This window comes from Homo sapiens, chromosome 17 (genome assembly GCF_000001405.40).
Source record: "Homo sapiens chromosome 17, GRCh38.p14 Primary Assembly".
Classification (NCBI taxonomy): domain Eukaryota; kingdom Metazoa; phylum Chordata; class Mammalia; order Primates; family Hominidae; genus Homo; species Homo sapiens.
The window spans coordinates 15,130,724-15,153,645 of NC_000017.11; the positions used below are offsets into that span (position 1 = coordinate 15,130,724).

Here is a 22,922-nt window from a genome sequence, read left to right on the forward strand (position 1 = left end):
TCCACACTCTTGCCTTAAATTCTGCTCCCGGTGTTGCAGGGCCATTTATAAGAAGCTAGCATTTAGCTCCTCTTTGGACTTTGTTCTTAACATGAACATTTAAACTTCTCCTGTAAGGAACCACAGAGAGTAGAGGTCTCGTGTCTTAAGAGCGAATGTTGATTTATTCCATTTATTTGGCACAGTGCAATACCACCACTTAGAAAGTTGTAGCAGTGGGAGGAGCCTGACCCACACATTTTATGGATTAGGAAATTGTGACCGGAGGGGTTAAACATAGGGAGTCAGAAAGGCAGGGTGTAAAGGCCAGATTGAAAGGTCACACCCCCAGCAGCTCACAGGGTTCTCCTCCCTCAATGTTCCAACACCACCCACATAGGAAGGAGGAAGAGGCAGTGTTCATTTCATGGCATCCATTTGGGGGTTACCTGGCATAGAAAGATGAGACAATAAAGCATGCGTTTCATGACAAATTTTGGTGCTCAGCACGTTTCTTCCTGCAGTACATCTTCCTAAAGACAGCAGCCAGGTAATGAAAGTGAGTGCCAGCAGTGTACTGAACAAGGTTTTCTGAATGAGTTGTTTTGAGAATTACCCACGTCCAGGTAACCCCTGTTTGCTCCCATTTCCAGTGACCATCAAAGGTCTAAGAATAAAACCAATGCTGGAATTACTAAAAAAAAAAAAAAAAAAAAAAAAAAAAAAAAAGAAGAGAGAGAGATCCTATGTCTTGTTTCTTGGGTTTAAAACAGTGCCTAGTGCATCTTCTGTTACTGACTTGCTCTGTGAGTTTGAGTTGCCTATTCTTGGCATCTGTTTCTCTGTCTACAGCCATAGAATGACGGATTTGGCTTAGCAGATCATTATGGTGACTGAGCCCTCACAGTCGGTGGATCACCCATGAACCGTGATGGCAGCTGTAATGGGAAGGGGGCCATGAAACCAGGGTCACTCAGCTGCGGAAGAGGAGTCTTTTAACAAAGAACTTAACCAAGGCCACACGATGCAGGGACAACCACCAGGCCTCCAGTGCACTGAACACAGGGCTCAACAGAGGTCCCTATGATGCTGGTGGGCCTGATGGGTCTCCGAACGCTGGTGACACTTCACCCCAGCTTCTTGCCCAGGTTCTTGGCACTGGCACAGGAAGAAATTCAAGGATGAATCAAAGCAAAAATAAAGAGGCTTTTATTGCAAAGTGAAAGTACACACTCACCGGTGGGAGTGTCATGTACTCCAAAGAGTGAGTCACACTCAACAGAGTTTGGGGTCTTTGGCTTTATTGGTTTTGAGGTCCAGCAGGACTTGTTTACTGGTCACAACCTTGCTGACCAAAACAGGACCTGTTCTGGACAGGATAAAGTGAGGAAACTAACAAGAACCAGCAGGTGGCTACAAAACTGATCCCTGGCTGCCCTCATTGCTCATTGGTGTAAGACACACACTAGTGCTATAACAGTTTACAAATGTCACGGCAGCCATCTGGCAGTCACCACCCCCTTTCCATGGCAACAACCCAGAAGTTACTGCCCCTTTCCCATAAAGTTCTAAACAACTTGCTCCTCAATTTGAATTGACCCACCCCTTAATTTGCATGTAATTGAAAGTGGGCTTAGGTGAATATAAATGCAGTTGCCACAGTCCGTAGGTGCTAACTCTGGGTGCACTGCCTGTGAGTTAGCCCTGCTCCATATGGAGTAGCTCGGGTTCAATAAAAGATTGCTGTTTAAAATCAACTTGAATTCTTTTCTGGGAAAAGCCAAGAACCCTTATGGATTAAGCCCCAACTTTGAGGCTTGCCTGTCCTGCATCAGTTTCTCTAATTGAGGTGCAAAATAATCATAAGGATTTCTGAGAAGAGATGGGAATTTCTTGGAATTGGGGTGCTACCCAGTTTTAGACCCAGCATGGGTATACCTGGAATGGTCATGGCACTGGTGGGTGTGTGGTTTAGTATAATAAAGAGCGTATAATTGAGTCTGGGGTAAAACTTGGGTCAGACCAATTTCACCCACATCCTGTTTGTCAGGGTGTTATGGTCCCTTTCCCAACCCTTGCTCCTACAGCTGGCTTCTATGTTAGTCAGTGAAACTGCTGCCTGGTATTCTCTATTTCCCCTGTGACCACACAGTATTCCTATCTCACCTATGCCTTGTGTGAGGTATTCCTTATTATCAGTGTCAAGAATCAGTGGGGATTATAGAAAAGAGGTAGAGGGAAAGTAGGAGGACTCAATTCCCATTCTACTTGATTGCTGTCTACCATGGGACTTTAGGGATGTCTCACAGCTCTCAGCAAAGTGAATGGGCTGCACAACACAATTTTACCAGTGGAGGATCCTGACTATGAGTATCCAGGTTCTTGGTGTTTGGAACAAAGAAACGGACAAAATGCACAAACAAAGCAATGAAAGATGAAGCAACGAAAGCACAGATTTAATGAAATGAAAGTACACTCCACAGAGTAGGAGCGAGCTTGGGCAAGTGGCTCAAGAGCACTGGTTACAGAATTTTCTGGGGTTTAAATACCCTCTAGAGTTTCCCATTGGTTACTTGGTTACACTATATGTAAATGAAGACCTGAACCAGTCTGATTGGTTGCAGGGAGGGACCAATCAGAGGCCGAAGCGAAGCTACAAAGTTACACCCTATGCAAATGAAGACTGGTTGTGGGAGGGGATCCATCAGAAGTACTTACCATTTTTCATCTGCAATGCAGTAGAAGTCGGGGAGGGCATTGGAAAGGAAGTAGCCTCTGATGCTTTTGTTACTTGGGTGTAAAAAGGTGGGGTTTTCCTTTTGATTCCGTTCTAGGAAGTCACTGCAAATCGAATCGGCCTTAGGTTCCCTGCCTCCAGACCCTATTCTCCCGCCTCACAGTGGATGAGCAATCAGACACTTGCCTGCTTGCAAACAAGCACACCCCGCCCCACCACACCCCCACACCCCTGGCCCCCCACCCCGCTTCCCCTGCTTCCCCGCCCCCCGCCCCGTACCCTTCCAGCAAACTCAAGACCCACAGGGCCAGGCAGCTGGCTGGTGCTGGACAACAGGCCTCAGGAGGCTGCTTAGAAACCTGCCATGCTGAGCACTTGCTTAGTATTAAATTAAACTAAGTTTGACCTCAGGCGGCATCTATACCCATGTTCCTACTTAACGAACTGCAACCTAACTTAGTACTTAAACAAACTGAAAGCATAACTAGGAGTATATTTTTTTGTAACAACCAGCTGAGTCTCAGCCAATCACAGCAGCTGAGCTTCACCAATCACAGGCAGCGCTGATCAAACCCCACCCAAATAAGGCAAATCCAGCTGTAACCAATCCAGCTGTTTATGCATCTCACTTCCTTTTCTGTCCATAAATGCTGCCTGCTGGATGGAGCGATCTGAACCTCTTCTGGTTCTGAGAGCTGCTTAGTTCACAAATTGTTCTTTGCTCAATTAAACTCTGTTAAGTTTAATTTGTCTAAAGTTTTCCTTTGAACATTATCTGCCCTGCCTTTTCAAACACCAGGAGGTATAATAATATGTCCACACAAAACACTTTCATGGCCCGCAATGGAACACCAGTACGTTCTGTCTCTCATAAGGCACTGTGGTTGTTACAGGAGAAAAGGAAGTTGGTTGGTGAGTCTTTGGACAGAATGGGGGATGTGGTGTCCCTCTGCTCTCAGACATTTTTCTCACTGCAAGCATCCCAGAGAACTTCCAGGAAGGCAAGGGAAGAGAGCAGACATGAGACTATAGCATGCAGCAAGCCTGAAGACCCCTAGGTGGAGCCCACTTTTGAGTAAATTGGACCAACCCGACTAGACAGACTTCAATGGAGAGGCAGATGCTTCAGTACTGATAAAAAGTAACAAAAAGGAGCGAAGCTGGGCACTTCTTATCACCTAGATGTCAGAACTGAGGCTCAACCCTGAATTTTCAAAGACTTAAGTGCAAAACTGACACCCAGAAAGTATAAATAGAGCAGGGCTGGGGTGGGGGAGTTAAAGCAAAAGGAAAAAGTGTGGGGGGGAAGTTTTTAAAAATAATAAATAAATAATACATAACTAAATAAATGGCTTTTCAGAAAATGATCAGAATGAAGAAAACACAAGTGCAATGCTAAAGGAACCACAGATGGGGAACTCCCCAAGCCCCTGGGTGCTAGAGGCTCTATATTTAGACCAAATTAAATGCTCTGAGGCCCCACCCTTGTACCATCAGGAATTTCCCTCTCCAAACAGTATAAATGTCCCCTAGGGGTGATGGCATTAAAAATCCCTCTCTCACCCTGCAATTAGGTATTTTGTACATGTTTCCTTGTCTGTTGTCCAAGTTCTCCCATTAGACTGTAAATTCTATGAACGAATGGATCTCTTACGCTTGTCCACAGATTCTGAGCCTATGAAGATGGTACTAGTCCTCGATAAGTATTTGTGAAATGAGTAGCTGAATGAATGAATGAATAAGTAAAAGAATGAATGATTGAATGATCACTTACAAGCTGCTGCCTGAGGCTTCTACCCTTGTAGCCCCTACGTACACCTCAAGCACTGTTGCTGGTTTTGCATCAAATCTTCTTGTAGTGTAGCCAGAAGTGTATCCAGGACTCTGGGATTTTCACTAACCAGCTGAGAACTACATGGTCCCCATGCTGGGGCCAAACCCTGCCCCCAGAAACACGGTCTGTGTTGCTAAGCCTGACGTCCTATCCTATCTCTATGAATTGTTCACTAGGACTGTTGTTCCTGCACACAGTCTGGCCTAGTACAACACCACCCTAGATCAATCTGGTATATTTTTATAACCTAAGTATGGTAGGGATCATAATCCTGGTTTTAGCTCCGTTTATGGGAAGACGTCCTGCTGCCTACACTTAAACTGATGGAGCTAAATAATGAATGGGCAGGGGCTTCCCCAGGTCTCACTGCCATCTAAGGGCTAAAGAAAAATGAAGAAGATGAGGAAGAGGTGAGGGCTGTCTCCACCCACCAACAGCACCTGAGTCCCAGGCCCTGGCTCAACCAAAACGAATGTTTTGTTACAGTGAGGCCAGGATTTCTGGACAGAGCAAACCACAGCAACAGAAAACAGTCATTTGAGAGAAACAGTGGCCACACTGCCACTCCTTCTATGGTGGAACGACAGAAAGTACGTAGACGACACCGATGGCCTTTAGACACCAGCTGCCCTGGCTGAGGGAAAACAAGAAGCATAGTTTCCATTGCTCTGTATTACATCACTTTTTTCCACATTCTTTAATGACCTAATGATTCTTTAATGACCTTTAATGACCTCTTTGCAGTAAAATGTCCCAATGAGAATACACATTTCCATTAATTAAATTCAACGTGCAATCAAAATGGTGTCACTAAAACAGTGGGCTGTCCTAGTCTTGGTGTCCTCTAAATATGGATCCACTTTTCCCAGCTTAGTACTAAACAAGTTGAGTAGAACGAAGAGTAAACACAAGTACCAAAAATATCACAGTTATTATTAATAAATGCCACATTGAAGCACATTTTTTTGGTTGGAGAGCTCAGTGGGCCTGCTAACTAAATCCCAGAATTCAGCAGTCTTACCCACCTAGCAGTGGACCATGCAGACTTCCTTTCACTCTCCTACTTTGCAGGATGGTAAGGACCATGCTGTATGCCTAAGAGAAGTCTTAGGCCTAAAGAACTCTAGCTCTCTGCAGACAGAATGCTCTAATACCGTTTTCAAGACTGCAAGTTATTTAAAGTCACTTCTTGTCTTCAAAGGCAAAGGAACAAAAAGGTCAACAGAATCCACTTGCCCTGTGAAAAATTCCGTTCCCCGCAAGGAAAAGAGGAAGCAATATTTTCCACCAGACTTGCCCTGTCTGATAAGTCTTGGTAAGCCACCTTATTGATTGTCTTCAACTGAGAAGACAATCAATTTTGAGAAAACTGGACCAACCCTACTAGACAGACTTCGGTGGAGAGGCAGATGCCTCAGCACTGGTAAAAATATCAAAAAGGAGTGAAGCTGGGCACTTATTATCTGGAATCCTTCCTCTTTTCTTGTCTTGTGGACTTGGGCAGCTCACGTGACCTCTCTGGGCACTGGTTTCATCACCTGCAGCCACACAATGATGGATTTGGGCTAGATGGCCACCAAGTATTTTTCAGCTCTAACAGTCTGCAAATGACATGAGATTTTCTCACCTTTGAGCCATATAGGAATTCCCTTAGCAGAGAAAGAATAGCCTGTGTGGGAAACTATGAATTTTACCTTATTGCTTTCCCTAAATAATGCCAGGGGTGCCTTAGCCCACCCAGAGCTTTGCTGTAAGTAGGACAATTGCTCAACCCATTCTGCTAACCAAGTTTTCTCATTACCCTTTTCCTCTGGAAGTTTTGAGCCCATCCTGCTACATCTGCAAGATATGAGACAATGAGAGGTTATGGGATGACACGCTTGTTTCTTCTGGCTTCCTGGCATTGCCTCTTCTGACAATGTGAGTCTATGGTACCCACTGTAGGTCAGGGTATTTTCAGGAGTATATTTTCAGGAGTATTCATCATATGGACTTTCCTTTTGCACTATCCACTGAGTTTCCAAACAGCAAGATTTTACTTTCCTATTCAAACTAAAACTCCTACTTGTCTAGGAGTTTCAGTTTTAAGAATTAAAGTACAAGTAACTGGTCATTTAGTCTTGTCTCATCACTGGTCCTACATAAAATGCAATTAACAATGAATTATACTTAATATGGTGTTAAAATAAGAATGTTCTGGTCTCAGCTTCTATCTTGACTGTGTGTATGCATATGTGTAAATGTGTGTGTGTGTGCACACACGTGTGTGAGTGTACCCTGGAGTCGATTTACTCCTGAGAGTAGGTGTAAATTTATAATCTGAAAATGATTTATAGCTGAAAAATGCATATTGACTTTGTCTTACAAACTCAGCCAAATATTTTCTTTAGTACCACTCTGAAGACTATCATCTGCCTCTAATTGATTTTAAGATGCAAGGATTTCTCAGAACCTGGGAAGTGTGGTTGGAAACTATCACATACTTACCAAATATGGGCATGGGTTTCAAAAGGTTAAGAAATAACTACATCATTTGAAACTGGATAACCAAACATTTTCAGGAAATTGACTTTTCTTATGACATGGACAAGGTTTCACATAATATTTCAGCTGTTTGGGGAATATTTCGCTACTTTCACCACTGTCCATTTCCACCCAAATTCAGGTGCTGTGGTTTTGCTTTGTAAACCTTCATTGTTCAGCTGGGTGCTAAGGACTTCTACTGTCTGTTTTGGGGGATTTAACGAACATCCTGGATGGTTGAAAACGGGCAGTAAGAGGAAAATTGGGCATGTAGGGAAATTTGGATGGGCATGACAAAGCTGAGAAGCCCAGGCTGGCATCTGTGCTGAACAATGCACTGTAGATGTTCAGGCGTCTGTTGAAGGAAGACCCTCACTGCGTGGCAGCAAGACTAACAGGATCTTGACTCCTCAACAGGAACATCGTACTGTGCTATACTCATTGGAAGGGTGAGGAATGGTCTGGGAGAGATGGCTCACCTTCCACAGGGCTCCCAGGCACTGCCCGGAGATACTGGAGAGTATGCCCTTCCAGCCATACTAACCCCAGCTGGGCACTCTGGTCCCAGCCACTCCAATTTCCATGAAGCCCAAGTCTCATACCCCTTGTCCCACCCCCTGTCCACATTGGATCCCTTTCTTCTAGCATGACAGGTAGCCTGGTTCCTTCCAGAGTATTTTTCTGGTCTATTGTTACAACTTAAACTTACACTTTGTTTCTCTTGGGCTTTCCCCTTTGATGCCCAGTTTGAAAGTTAAGAATGAACATTTGGTATTTCTCTTTACATTCCCACTATAACAACTCCAATGCCATTGAAGGTGATGTTGATATATATGATTGGTTAATGGACAAGTCATTTACAAGTAAATGAGGGAAAGAAATGCAAAGAGATTAAAATCCTAAGAGTATCTCAATATATTCAGACTCATTTGATGTTAGTTGCTTCTAATACCTTTTACCAATTTATCATTTAATTTGTATGTTTCCTTATGAGTTTTTGCTCTTTCTTTTTTGATAAAATGTTTCCCTCTTTATATATTTTTTAACTTAAAGACAGCAGAGTGTGTAATATTTTTGGAGTCAGGGCTATGTTTACGTTTCTTATTGTATGCTTAGCAGGATTTTCCCTTTCCATTTAAAAAAAAAAATCACTGTGGTAGGGAATTTTCTAATTATTTCTCTGTCACTCAGTCCCTATAAATTCTCTCTCAATTCAGAAGGTAAAAATGCTAGATTTTCACTTCCCCAGCTTCCTTTGCAGCTGAAGTGGTCATGTGACTCAGCCCTGGCCAATGAGAGAAAGCAGACTATTCTGGGGGGTTTCTGGGAAAGATTTTTCCTTGGTTATAAAAAGAGAGATCTACCAAGGAGTGGCCTCCTACTGTCCTTGTTACCTCCTTCCTTCTTGTTTGGGGGAGTAAGTCCCATTTAAACAGAATGCTTGGAGCTGTGATAGTCATATTGCTTCCATGAGAAGGTGTACCTGAGGACAAAAAGTCAAACAGATGAGGACGGCACAATCAAAGAATATAAGAGCCTTGGTGACATTGTTAGACCTCTGAATCAACCTGCAATCGCCTTCCTCCAGAATGCTTGTGATAGGATATATGCAAAGCCTTCATGTGTTAAGACACTGTGACTCAGGTAGCTGATGACTTACAGATAAAAAAAAATCTCACTGATACTCTCACTCATATTTTCTTTTAGTTTGTGTGTGTCATTTAATCCAAATTCATTTAGGATTTGTTTTGTTATCTGTTGTGAAGTTTGTTTTTTTGTAAATGCTTAATGAATTTTCCCATGAACATTTACTTAAGGATTCATATTTTATTTAATGTTTCAAAATGTCACCTTTATCATATATTAAATTTTTATCTATAATAGAATATCATCAAGCCTCAAATTTCTCATTAATAAAAGTATAATAATAATAGTACTTATAAGGTTGAGAGATAATGCTTATAAATTTCTAAGCCCAGGTCCTGGCACATAGTAAATATAAAATGTATGATAACTATTATTATTACTCATTTTCATTTCTATTATTAAATGATTTCTATCTATAAACACATTAATTGGTTTTATTTTCTTTGTTTTCTGTCTTTGGCTACATATTTTCATTATATTCTGTTTTTAATTCTAATGGCAGTTAGCTTTATACTTGGAAAAATTATGTTTGACCTCTTTTTCCTTAACTGTAAAATCAAGCATAAAAATGGCATTTTTAAGCCTTTCCTATTCCAAATATGCAGTTTAACACTTTTTCAAATTCCACACTTACCTATTGCTCACTTCCTCTTCTTACTTCCTGTATTTAGTTAGTAAAGTCTGGGATTTCAGACCAATGTTATTATAATTAAATTTTGTTTTATCTTAAATATATTGTTCTTCAAGACCAGTCTTTACATTTGTATTTAGTTTGGAAACCATATTAAGCAACTTATTCAAACTTGATTTCATGTTTATTGGCTATATGTTTATCACATCCACTCATTCTTTTTTTATCAGAGTGTATACCATCTTACAGCTTCTTTTTGCTTCTCTCAGATGTTTGGAGTCTATTTTAAATAACCATCTTTAAGAAAGACACATGAGGACATGTCAGTGACAACTTGTCTTTTAGAGAATGTCTTCCTATTGTCTTTATATGAAAAAATTACAGAAGGAAATCTGGGATCACCAAAGGGAAGTGAAAAGTAGAAGATAAGGTCAGAGAGATAATGCTAGAGAAGGGATGATTGCCAATAGGTGGTCAATAGGGTGGATCTCCTTAAGCTTATGAAAGATTTGGGCTTTTTCACTGTAAATATCCAGGAGAGCCATTGAATGGTTTTGAGCTGAGGAATGGTGTTCTAACTTTCACTTTTAAATGATAATTCTGGCTACTGTCATTAATGGGCAAGAGACCATTGTAATCATCAAAACGAGACATGGAGATGATGATGTCAGGGTGGGAGCAGTAGAGTTTCTGAATATGCTTTGAGGGTGGAGACAACAGGATTTTCCTAATGGATTTAATGTCACATCGGAGAGAGGAGATGGCTTGACCCTGAGACTTGGGTTCTGAATGACTGAAAGAATGAACCTTCCATCAACTGACATGTGGAAGGCTATGGGTAGAGTAGCTTTCAGGGAAGGGGGACACCAGGAGTTCAGTTTTAGATGTGATGAGTTTGAGATATCCATTATTAGGTTGACATGAAAGTAACTGCAGTTTTTGTCATTAATTTTAATGGCAAAAAGCACAATTATTTTTGCACCAATTTAATAGTTAAGTGGAGATGCTTAATCAGCATTTGCATATATAAGCCTGGAGTTTTGGAGAAAGGGCTGGATTGGAGATACTCATTTGGGAATCATCAGCATCTAGACGGTATTTCAAATCATGAGCCTAGGTAGACTCTCTCAGTAATTTTTTTTTGCTCCCTACATTGAATTCCTATTTTCTCTTTATGCATATTTGAGTAAGAGTAGAGTTGTATTTTGGTTTGGTTTTGGTTTTTTTAGAGACTAGGTTTATAAAAGACACAAATACATTTTACTGGTCTTGGCCCTATTCATTGCCTACTTCAGAGTCAGCTGAATCCTTTCTCCAATCCATAGCTGGAGTGCAGGCTCATATGCTCAGCTCCTAGTCCAGTACAGCAGGTACCCACCTAATACCATTCTGATGTAGTGAGGTGGTATTTGTCTCTCATCTCTGCTGCTGGATACTCTGATGTCTCAAAGTGTTCAAGTGCTTAGAATCCACAATCCAGCATGCACTACCCCACAGTCTTTCACCCACCATGGCCAAGCCCTCCAGCCGTTCCTTCTTTTCTTTTTGTTTTTTAATTTTCTGAAGTTATTTCTTTAAGAATTACAACAGGCAAAAACTGTATGGTAAATAGATTCCTCCCCAGACTCAGAGCCTGGGGTGAGATACAAAATACCTCCCTACCTGTATTTCAGTGGGAATATTATTCATCATGACATACAGCCTGAATTCACCAGGAAGGAAAACCTGGTTGTTCTCCCACCAGCCCCATCTGCCTTGCTCCATGTTCTGGCTTTGGATTGTTCATAGGAAGAGCTTTAGTCTTGCTCTGTGTTCAAAACTGCTTTAATGGGAAACTAAAAGAGATCCATAAAAAGCTACTAGTCAGATGCCATTTTAAGCCAGTTCAATGGCAAAACACAGTCACAGAACACATAGTTTGTGTTAATGCCATAGATTTCTAAACTCTCATCAGCAAAGCCATCATGCTAAAGTTAACAGAGAAATTTTAAACAGTTGATAGTAAATTTCCTCCCTCAGATCTCTGAACATTTTGTAAACTACCTCATCTTTCTTCCAGCTACAAATAATGTCCAGTTCACTCTCAGGATTTAGCTCGCCATGGAGGCAAGTTTGTATACATTTTCCCAACAAGGTATAAATCCCATAGCTAGGAAAAAGAGTACTTTTCAGTCTCTAAAGACACACCCATAAATATCCAATGTAAGCAAACTAAAATTAGAACATGCGACCAGTTATGGAGATTTGGTCTGGGCCCCCATTATCCTCCTCCTGTCAACACCCCTACTTGGAAAATTAACGTTTATTAGGTTCCTATGTCACCCATATTTAAGATTCCTGTAGCACTCACCCTTCTTTATTCCCCCAGAGCCAGGAGAAAGCAGGATGCTCCTCATCCACCTATCCTTGGACTGTGGAAACTAGGAAAAAATAAAAAGTCATATTTGCACTTTTATGATCCAAGATGCAGCTCACCAAGTGCAATTTTCTATGCAACATGCAAACTAAGTCCAATAAGTAAAGGATTAATGCGTGAAGAATTCATGATCAAGGTCACACTCAATCAAAGACTTGCTAGAGGTGTTTGGGAATTGCGTATATGTTGCTAGTGGGTTGCTTAGAGCAGAAATCACCATCCTCAGCCGGGTGCAGTGGCTCATGCCTGTAATCCCAGCACTTTGGGAGGCCAAGGCGGGCGGATCACGAGGTCAGGAGATCGAGACTATCCTGGCTAACACAGTGAAACCCCGTCTCTACTAAAAATACAAAAAAATTTGCCGGGCGTGGTGGCGGGTGCCTGTGGTCCCAGCTACTCGGGAGGCTGAGGCAGGAGAATGGCGTGAACCTGGGAGGCGGAGCTTGCAGTGAGCCGAGATCGCGCCACTGCACTCCAGCCTGAGCGACAGAGCGAGAGACTCCGTCTCAAAAAAAAAAAAAAAAAAAACAAGAAATCACCATCCTCAAGGATTTATAGTTGAGGTAGATAATAACAAAGCAAAAGGAAAACAAAGTCACAGCAACACAGAAGATAAAGGGCAAAACTCAGAAGGCAGGTGTAAATTTTTCTTCCTTTGAGTTTCCAGAGTTTTACTTCTTTTGAAACCCTTCTTTTACTTTTACTACAATGTTTTGCCCTTACTGGAACTTGAAGTTATCCCTTGGAAGCCCATTTTGGTGCTTTGCATGCGGTAGTCCTCTATAAATGCTTGTTGAATTAAACAGAAGATTTGTAATGTGGTAGATTAGCACACATGTGTGCACACACGTGTGGTTAAATTTTTTTCAGTCATGTCTAAGACCAAAGAACAAGAGCAGGTTTGGAATGGAGATTAGTGATACAGAAATGGAGGAAGATTCAAGCTATTAGGTGTAATGTAAGGGGTTATTGAAATGGCTTACTACAAGCAGAGAAAGGAAGTGGAAAATGAAGGAAGGTGACTTCAAAGGATGAAAGAGGAGGCCAAAGAACCAGAGGGGGAAAGGAAAAGATTTAACAGAGTAAGAACAAGGAAGACGTTGAAGATAAAGAGATTATAGGCAAAGAAAGAGAGTTCAGAGCTAAAGACCTTTGAGATCTTCAGAGTTCCAAGTGCTGATGAAATCTACAGTGGGGAAGGAACCTGGCTGCACCACACACAGGCTAGGACGTAAACAGCGCTCCCACGTGGTCGACACAAGGACCCTGAAGAAAGGCTGTCCAAAGAGGGCTGACCTGGAGACAGAGGTTTATGGGGTAAAGGAGATCAAAACCCTCTGTGGCCAAAATTTTAGAATAATCATGGGTGGAGGGAATCATGGTGGGTGGAGGTGGGATTACGGTAGAAGGTAGAAAAGGAAGTTAACAAAATTCACATCTATTGTTACTTCGTAATTGTAAAGACAACCAAATTCTTCGGTAAGATCTACAACAAACGATTAGAAATCTCCACCTGCATTTTTAAATCTTTTTTTTTTTTTTTTTCTTTTTGAGACAGAGTCTCGCTCTGTCGCCCAGGCTGGAGTGCAGTGGTGCGATCTCGGCCGACTGCCACCTCTGCCTCGTGGGTTCAAGCGATTCTCCCACCTCAGCCTCCCGAATAGCTGGGACTATAGGCGCCCACAACCATGCCCGGCTAATTTTTTGTACTTTTAGTAGAGACAGGGTTCCACCATGTTAGCCAGGATAGTCTCGATCTCCTGACCTCATGATCTGCCTGGCTTGGCCTCCCGAAGTGCTGGGATTACAGACATGAGCCACCACGCCTGGCCTAAATCTTTCTTTACAATAGATAATATAGTACAAAATGGAACCTGTTTCTTGAGCCTTATGGTAGGGAGTGGGCAGTTGGGGAAGGTGCTCTTAAATCTTATCTATCCTGTAAGTAAAGAAAAGTAGACCCTTGATAAATGTGGTAATTAGAATTGAGGTAAAATAACAATTCTAGAAAAGAACCACAAAGAGGGACATTTTGATAGCCCTAGCCTTACAGCAAATTGAACCTGGATGAATGACTATTTTCTACAGTACGGTATATCTTTTTCAGAGAGTAGGATGGTGAGTCCCTGGGCAGAGGTGGGGAGTAGGGAATGGAATCGGTAGAGTTGCACTCACAGAAGATGAATAAGTTCTTGGAGATCTTATGTACAGCATGGTGACGATAGTTAATACTACTGCATTGTATACTTGAAATATGCTGGCCGGGCGCGGTGGCTCACGCCTGCAATCCCAGCACTTTGGGAGGCCGAGGCAGGTGGATCACGAGGTCAGGAGATCGAGACCATCCTGGCTAACACGGTGAAACCCCGTCTCAACTAAAAATACAAAAAATTAGCTGGGCGTTGTGGCGGGCGCCTGTAGTCCCAGCTACTCGGGAGACTGAGGCAGGAGAATGGCGTCAACCTGGGAGGCGGAGCTTGCAGTGAGCCAAAATCATGCCACTGCACTCCAGCCTGGGTGACAGAGCGGACTCCGTCTCAAAAAAAAAAAAAAAAGAAAGAAAGAAAGAAAGAAGTGTGCTAAAAGAGTAGATCTTAAGTGTTCTCACCCCCACGCCCCCTCCCCCACACACACAGAGTAACCATGTGAGGTGATGAGTATGTGAATTAGCTTGACTGTAGTAATCATTTCATTATGCTTAAATCAAGTTTAGCCTAAAACTGCCTCCTTACATATTTTAAGTTTGGCCTAAAGGTTTTTCTGTACATGGTGAACTATAACAAGTGGACGTATAAACAGACTGTAGCCTGCACTTGTGCCAATCACCAAGTTTTGGCCCATCAAATGTAGCCAACTGTTATAACCGTGTTCGAATAAGGCAAACACTGGGCTATAACCAATCCAACTGTTTCTCTACCTCACTTCCATTTTCTGTACGTCACTTTCCTTTTTCTGTCCATAAATCTTCTTCCACCGCATGGCCGTGCTGGAGCATACTCTGACTCTGAAGGCTGCCCTAATGTGTGAATCGTTCATTGCTCAGTTAAACGCCTTTAAATTTAATTCAGCTGATGTTTTTCTTTTATCAGATGAGGATGAGGATGGGATCCAAAGAAGAGCTTCTAACGACCCCCGAGGAATGCTGAGTGACCGAGCAAGGTACCCACTGAACCCAATTGTGTCCGTTGATCTCTTGGAGCAGCCAGGGATCCTGGTGAGTTCTCTCTGTTTCCAAAGCTGCACAGATTTGTGTTTTAAGCTCTCCAAGTTCCTTTGAGCAAATTCCTGATCCAAAGTGGATTTGGAAGTCACGACAGAAACTGGACTGGGTCCAAGATTGGATTTGATCTGGTAATTAACTGGCTTGGATCCAGTTAGAGGCCTCTTACATCTGGGTCAGAAAGAAACCAGTAGTAAATGGCAGTATTGCAGAGGGTATAAAATTTGGCTGTTGGAAATTCACAGGAATTTTTGTGTTCTACCCCGTTGTTTCATTTTTATTTTGCACTCAAATATTTAAAAAAAACATCATTGGCTAAGTTAATTAAGAAAACCTGAAAGGAAAACCAATATTTAGATAAAAATGGGATCCTTAATTTCTGAAGAACTGAGTTCCTTCTGTGTTATATATCCATAAGTATTAGGCCCCGGAAGCAGCAAAATCTTATCGAAATAGCAAAATCTTACTAAAGATAATTTATAGTGGAACATTCCAAATGAACAACATTGCACTGAAGTGTATTTGAAAATGAAGCCTTCCTAATTAGCCTCATCTAGGGATGCCTATTGATATGCAGAGGCTTCTAAAAAGATTTCAGTATTTTTATTTGAAGACTTTACAAAAGGCAAATAAAAAGCTTAAGTGATTAATTGATTAAAAAATTTAAATCTGCCTTGCAGTCTTTGCTGACAGCTATAGGTGACAGGATTAGGCATGTACAGAACCATGGAACATGGGGAACTTTCTTTCCCCAAAGGGGGAAACTTGAGAGCTGATGGGACTGCTGGAAAAGATCCCTTTGTGACTGACAAGTGGCTGCCTGAACTTTTGATTCAGTATTGCTGCAATGGGTGAGTCTTTCTCTGGCCTCCTTGAGCTCTTCACCTTCCCCACCCTGCTGCAGGCAATGCTTTTCTTTCTGTTTCTCTCTGTGAAAACCGGTTGCGGGAATGGTAAAAATCACCACCTCTCGCAAAGTTTTAATTAATGAGAAAAAGGATTCATGAAGCTAGTCTTAAGCTGTAGCAAATCTAGCGTACTTTGTGCTATGAATTTGTCTTTTTGTATCCTTCTGTCATGAAGAGGGGTGCCTTAGGATAGAACACGGGCTTGGGACCCCATAAGTTCACTGTTCAAGACATCCCAGCAAGCTGGTCAGTAAGAAACCTTCCTGCAGGTCCCTGAAACAACAACAACAACTGGATGAGGTTTCCACCTTGTCTTGTTTTATGTCCTTGGGAGCTTGACCTTGTAACCAAGTGGTGGTACTTTCTCTTGCTCTCCACCATCCAGGGCATGGGAATTTTGGGTTCATGTCAAAGGCATTGCAGGTGCCTTTGCAAGCTCAACATTAGCTGCTCTGGACTTCTTCTGGGAAGAGCAATGGAGATTGCCCAGCACTGTAGCTTAGTGGCTAAGGCTTTGCTTTTTCACAGCGGCAACCCAGGTTCACTCCTGGATTAGGGAATCAGTATTTACTGGTTGCTATCTCTGTGACCTTTACCGTTTGTTGATTCTTGGCCCCTCCATGAACAACTTCCAGCTTCTCTTCTTGAATCTTCCTTTCTCTCAGCTACCTTTAAAGATTCTAGATCTTATAAAAACTGCTAACCACCTCTTTGAAAACACCTTGTACACTGTGGTTAAGTCATAACATTAGTTAAGGCTTGTTGGTTTCAACTGTAACGTTACTTTTGGTAAAGGTTAAAAACCAGATATATTGGCTGTTTGGCCTCGCTAAAGTGGAGTGACTCGGCTTTCTCTATTGAACAGATTTTTATGTATGTTAAAGGATAATGAAAGAGTTTTGTTTGCCTTTTGAATAAAATACAGAAAAAAGAAGGGGAAGACAAGAGACAGATCGTTTGGAAAGCTAAGTCTTCTTTCTATCAATGGGTGAATGTTTTTGCCTTTTTAAATTTTTTTGAGTCATCATTTTGGCTAAATAAATGACTTACGGTGACTTGGAATTCTATTTCATAATATCAAGTATTCTAAACCTTTAACATATTTGATAAGCTTCCCCAAATCAAATTTCAGCTTCAAAATTGTCTTTTCTGACCTCTAACTTTGGGATGCTACACAGGGCCCCTGAAACATCCAAAAGAGAGGTCAACAGGATTATTTGACATGTGAAGTTACATGGGAAGCATTGTCAAAATAAAGAATAATGTTTAACCTTCTCTAGGTTATATTTTAGTGAATGATATTAATATATGTTCCAAAATTGTATGGGATTTCTAAAATTCTAATATGTCTGAGTATATGTTATCAATCATAATTATGGTTATTATGCTAAGTTATTGTAGACCACAGAAATAACCAAATTTCCATGTCAATTGTGTCTTTATAACTACTTAAAGTCATTTCCGCAGTTAATTGCTTAATGCTGATGCAGTTTCCGAAAACTTTACAAGCATGCAAAATCCTAGCATATGGTGTCTTTTAGGAGGTTCCTGAAAGGATGGAAAGGACCCTGAAAAGTATTCTTGAACACAGGTTTCTAGTAACTTTAGAATTGTATCATTTGGACCAAGAATTCCTGGAACTTTAATGAAAAGACTGACTGGTTTATAAAACTGTTAACCCAGGTAGAATAAAAATTAATTGAATACCAAGAAAACACTTTGCCAGATTTTCATGCTAAATCAGCCAATACTGAAATTGTTTAGATATACAATTTGAATCAACTCTATGGTCTATGTCAAATTACCTATGAAAACCCATCAGTTATCAGTTCTATGCAACTGAATTGGAGAAACCACTGGTATTCAAGAGGGCATAAGTCCAGTATTAAGCAGGGACTCATGGAGAACCAGGAGGGCAGCCTTGGCCTTCCTGAGTCCTTAAAGCTTTTCTTATTAAAAGTTCTGCATTCCATGACTCATCATGGAAAGGATAAAATGATCCAAATTAAATATATATAGATGTAGTGACTTTAAATTGCAAAAATAGTTTATGACCAATGTTTGGTTTGTCGATCCCATATTCCTGGGAAGACAATCAAAGCTTCAAGCACATTTGGCTACCTGATGAACCGTTTAAATATTTATAGAGGGATTTCACTCAATTGTCATTTTCAATGCATGTTTTCTGGTTGTATAAAAGCTTTCCCATGCAAGAGAGCTGATGTTATAACAGTAGATTATTATATATGGCACAGTGTATTTTCACCAGGTAAAGAAAGCTTTTTATGGTTCACTGACAGGACAATCAACCCCTTCACAATCTAGAACCTGAAGACTGGATCTTCTGAGAATGTCAGAGAAAGACTGGCCTTGCCATACACACTGCAACAAAACTTTAGGACCTTGAACCTTGATTTCATAATCTCACACCTGAGAAGTTTCCCTCCACACTCTTGGAACTGTACACCCATTGGAACCCTAAAGGTAAAGCCAACCAAAGAAGTTTCTCCCTGGAAGGAGATAGCATCCTTGATGTGAACAGCTTTTCCCAAGATCACAGATCAAGACTTCTCTACTATCATGAGACTCTTATCTTTGAATAATTTTCCCTTGCTTATGCCTCTGTGAACAATAGAAGTGAAAGGGAGGGGGAGTCTGTTGTGTGCACTTATGAGGTATACTTATTTCTGAAGGATTTTGCAGACAGACTTATACATGGATAAACTTCTGCCTTGATAGATGAAAGATGAAGGCCCAATGTAGGTGAGAAATTTTAATGGTATATACATTGCCTCACAATCAGTCAGAAACAAAGCATTGGTCACTCCTCTTAATCCACGTCATAGGTTAAAGAGAACATTGCCAGGAGGCCTTCACTCTTCTAAAAGGGCATCATTTGTTAGGTCCTATTTCCATGGCTTGGAGTAAAAGAGACAGTGATTAGAAATGCATTCCTCATGATAGGCTCTATAGCAGATTCTACTGTAAAGGCTGTGGTTACACAAGACTTTAAATTCTCTTGTGAAAGTTATGTTAAATAATAGAATTGCTTTAGATTACTTACTGGCTAAACAGAAGTATCTGTACAGCTGCTGGCACTTGTGGCCTATGAAGAAATACATCACATAGGGTATTATAGAGATTCAGTTGTAGGGGATTAACAAAGAGACTGCTTAGTTGAGTGAGTAAACTCTTTAGCTCCTTTTTTGATCTATTTAATTTTAGGTGGTTTCATTTATAAAGACCCTGGGTAAGGAGCATACTCCAAACTCTTGGTGTTATCCTCCCAACAGTCATAATAGTGTCTCCCTGGTGCACTGTATTCTCTCAAAAGTTTTAAATGTTTGCATGCAGCCATCTCTGTCATGTCAAATGGTCTCTCTTCAACTGGAATGACAAGAACTGAAAGAAATGTGTGGCCATGAAGGCACCATAACCTATGAATGACATGCTGAGACCAGAAACCCAAAATGATGGTAATTGAGAGTGGTGCTAAGGCCCTAAGTTTTGGTCACACTCTCACCTAAGGGGAGACTTTTAAAACAAAATTATGGGAGGCCATTGTTCAGGACTGAGCACATGCATTAGGCCCCAACAGATCAGACCAAACCAAAATGGAGCTGCTGGTGCTAAATGTCACATCAAACTAAGACTTTAAGAAAACATACATCCTAGAACAGACCAGGTTTTTTTTTTCTCCTGTAAACAGGACGTCTCAGCATAAAGAGGTCCCCTCTACACTGACCCTTACAAAAAACGAAATAAAATAAATGAACTGAAGTCCTTGTCCCCACCTTACAAACCCACTGTTCTGCTATTTCCCAGTGGGTTTCAAGACCAAATAAGTATATTTACAATAGTGATAATGACATCAGTGACTAAAGTTTTGGTCAGTCTCTCAAAATTAAGAAGATGACCAAAAGTGGGGAATTGTTTAATCAGGTTTAGCCTAAAGGTGCCTCCTTACATATTTTAAGTTCAGCCTAAAGGTTTCTCTGTACATAGTGAGCTATAATAATTGGAGGTGTAATAAGACTGTAGCCTACACTTGTGCCAATCATCGAGTTTTGGCCAATGAAATGTAGCCAACTGTTCAAACCATGTGCAAATAAGGCAAACACCAAGCTGTAACCAATCCGGCTGTTTCTGTACCTCGCTTCCATTTCCTGTACATTACTTTCCATTTTCTGTCCATAAATCTTCCACCATGTGGCTGCGATGGACTCTCTGAGTATACTTTGGCTCAGAAGGCTGCCCCATTGGTGAATAGTTCAATGCTTAATTAAATTCCTTTAAATTTAATTCAGCTGAAGGTTTTCTTTTATCACTATGTATATCAAAACATCAAATTATGTTGTTATAAAGCTATTATTTTAAAATACAAAGTAAAAATACAGTAAGTACTTTTCACAGGAAATTGTAGAACAAAAAATCCCAGACTTTCTCTACAGAAGTGGCCCATCTGGCCTGTGCACTAACCTGGGGGACCTTGACCAACCAGCAATGCCACTGCCTCCCACTCTGCCTGTGAACCTCTGCAAGATAAGAATGCTACTTCTGCTTGGAGTTGAGACACATGTTTTCCACTCTTGGCCAGAACTGAGGATGAGAGTGTTTCTCTTTAGCAACAGTCCTTAGGCAGAGACAGGAAGGGTTTGACTTTGTGGATTGGCCTCACCAGTGTGTTTTTTTGGCCTCTGGTTTATGCTGAGAATTTTTATCCACAGGTGGATGCTTGTATTGGTTTTCGCTTGGGAGTATTCGTCTGAGAAATCACTGCTGCAAAACTGGGATAGTCTGGCTCAGGAAAATCAAGCTTTCCAGCCAAGCAAGCCTCTTAGGCTGGGATTGCAGAGAGTGAACATCCTTTTTCACCTAGACTTAGGGAACTGAGTCTCAAAGATGCAGAAACAGCAATGAAAGCAGCCATATCGGTTGGTTGGCAAGAATAAGGAACATTATTTCCCCCCGATTCCAAGAAGAATGGATGGAACACAAAGAAACCAGGGGTCCCTGCTGGGGTCTCATGCTTCCTGGGGACATCACCTCCCTCTCTAAAAGGCTGAAGCCATCACACTTAAGTTTTCAACTTCCCTCTTCCCTCTCCATTTCAGAGCCTTTTTGTAGCTTCATCACTCTTCCTTCCTTAAATCATCTTTATCTTTCTGGTCTCTGAGAAGCAAGTGGCCTGTGTCATGGGCAACTTTCTTAAGTAGATTTCCTCTCATCGACATGATCATCTCTCTTCTCTGTACATTTTCAAGACTTGTATATCCCCCAAAAAGTAAAAACCCACCTTCAAGACTGCTACCCTGCGGGTCAAGCCCTCCTACCCTTCTCAGACTCTCTTGTGAATGACAGCTGGTGATAATACAAAATAAATATTTGGTTTCTGTCCCCAGTTCCTGACACTCAGCTCCCCAAACCCACAGACTTTCCAGAGTGATGAATGTATTTTGTTCCTTTGTAAGCAAATTAGATGATTGTTGGCTTGGGGTCCCTACTAGCTCCAAGACAGGGCTGGTGGCCAGGAAGGCCAAGACATTATTAGAATGTTGGAACTTTGAGTCCTACCCCTTAACCATCCGGGAGGGAAGAGGGGCTGGAAACTGAGTTAATCATCAATGGCCAATTATTTAATTATGTCATAAAATTCCTAAATGGTGGGGTTTGGAGAGCTTTCAGGTTGGTGAACACATCAAGGTGCTGGGAGGATGGTGTGCTCAGAGAGGGCAGGGAAACTCTGCACCCCTCCCCTCATACCTTACATCTCCTTGCCTTCCATCTATTTGGTTATTCCTGAGTGGTATCCTTTATAATAAACTGCTAATAGTAAGTAAAGCACTTATTTAAGCTCTGTGAGCTGTTTGTCTCCAAATACTGATCAACCTTTAAGGAGAAACCAATCTTATTCACTCTGCTATGTTGCCATCACATAACAGAGATTTTGGAGGAAATTATAAAGATGATTTTTATTGAAATCATCTCTCAAATTGGTGTGCTCTATTTATTATCAACTCAACTCCCCCATTTAAAAAAAAATCATCATTCACTCACTTATCTTCTCTCCAGCCATCACCCTTTTGTTCTCCTCTTCTTTCTATTCCAACTTCTCATAATGTTGCCTACTTTCTATCTCCAGCTCCTAATTTTTCAAGCCATTCTCAATGGCTTCTGTCCCCACCACTTCCTAAAACAGCCCTTCCTAAGGTCATCAAAAAACTATTTGTCACTATAAGCAATAAACTTTTTTTAATCCTCAATTTTACTTAATTTCTCATTGGTATTTGATAATGTTAATCACTTCTTTCTTCTTTCTTCTTGAAATGCTGTTTTCACTTCCTGGATATCCCTCTGGTTCCCTGGTTCTTCTCTGGCTCCATTGCAGGATCATGCTCCTTTATTCAACCAATATTTGTTGGATTTCTTCAAGACTGGTTCTAGGTCTTCTTTACTCACTGTATCCTCTATTCCAAAGCACCATCAGCCATGCCTCTGGCTTCTATTATCACCTGTTAGTAGATGACTAACACATTTACATCTTTAGCCTAGACCTGTCCTCCGAGTTCCAGTCCATTATTTTCATTTACCTGCTGGATCTACCCTCATGGACATCTCAAAATCTCCTGAGGCTCAATATAAGCAAAAGCGAACTCATTGCTGTGTCAGTCAACATCTTGGCAGGAAGAAATTGCACCTCCTATTGAAAATAAGAATTTGACAAAAAAATGTTAATAAAAGGACTTTTTGCCAAGGTGTGGACATGGTTAAAATAAACCAACAACGAACAGTAAGCTGGTGAAATAAATACTCTGATATCACCCTCTCTGCCCCGTGACCTCCTGACCATTGGCAAAACCAAGCCAGACACTAGAAAATATGGAAGCTTGTTGAGGCATAGAGGTCAGCCTTCTAGGGCTCAGATCAGGGTGGAAAGGGAATGGAACTAAAGGGACAAATGAACAATATTCAGCATGATGATTGTGTTAGTCCCGTTTGCATTGCTATAAAGGAATACCTGATGGAT

General features: G+C 41.2%; 1 long non-coding RNA gene across 1 annotated transcript; it reads right to left on the reverse strand.

The window, feature by feature from the left end:
* Positions 1-11,411: 11,411 nt before the first annotated feature.
* LOC107984976 (uncharacterized) lies at positions 11,412-22,630 on the reverse strand. The gene is made up of 3 exons (XR_001753054.1): positions 22,486-22,630; positions 18,960-19,001; positions 11,412-11,771 (listed from the first exon to the last, which is right to left on the reverse strand). It is a non-coding gene; the product is annotated as an uncharacterized LOC107984976 (long non-coding RNA).
* Positions 22,631-22,922: the final 292 nt, after the last annotated feature.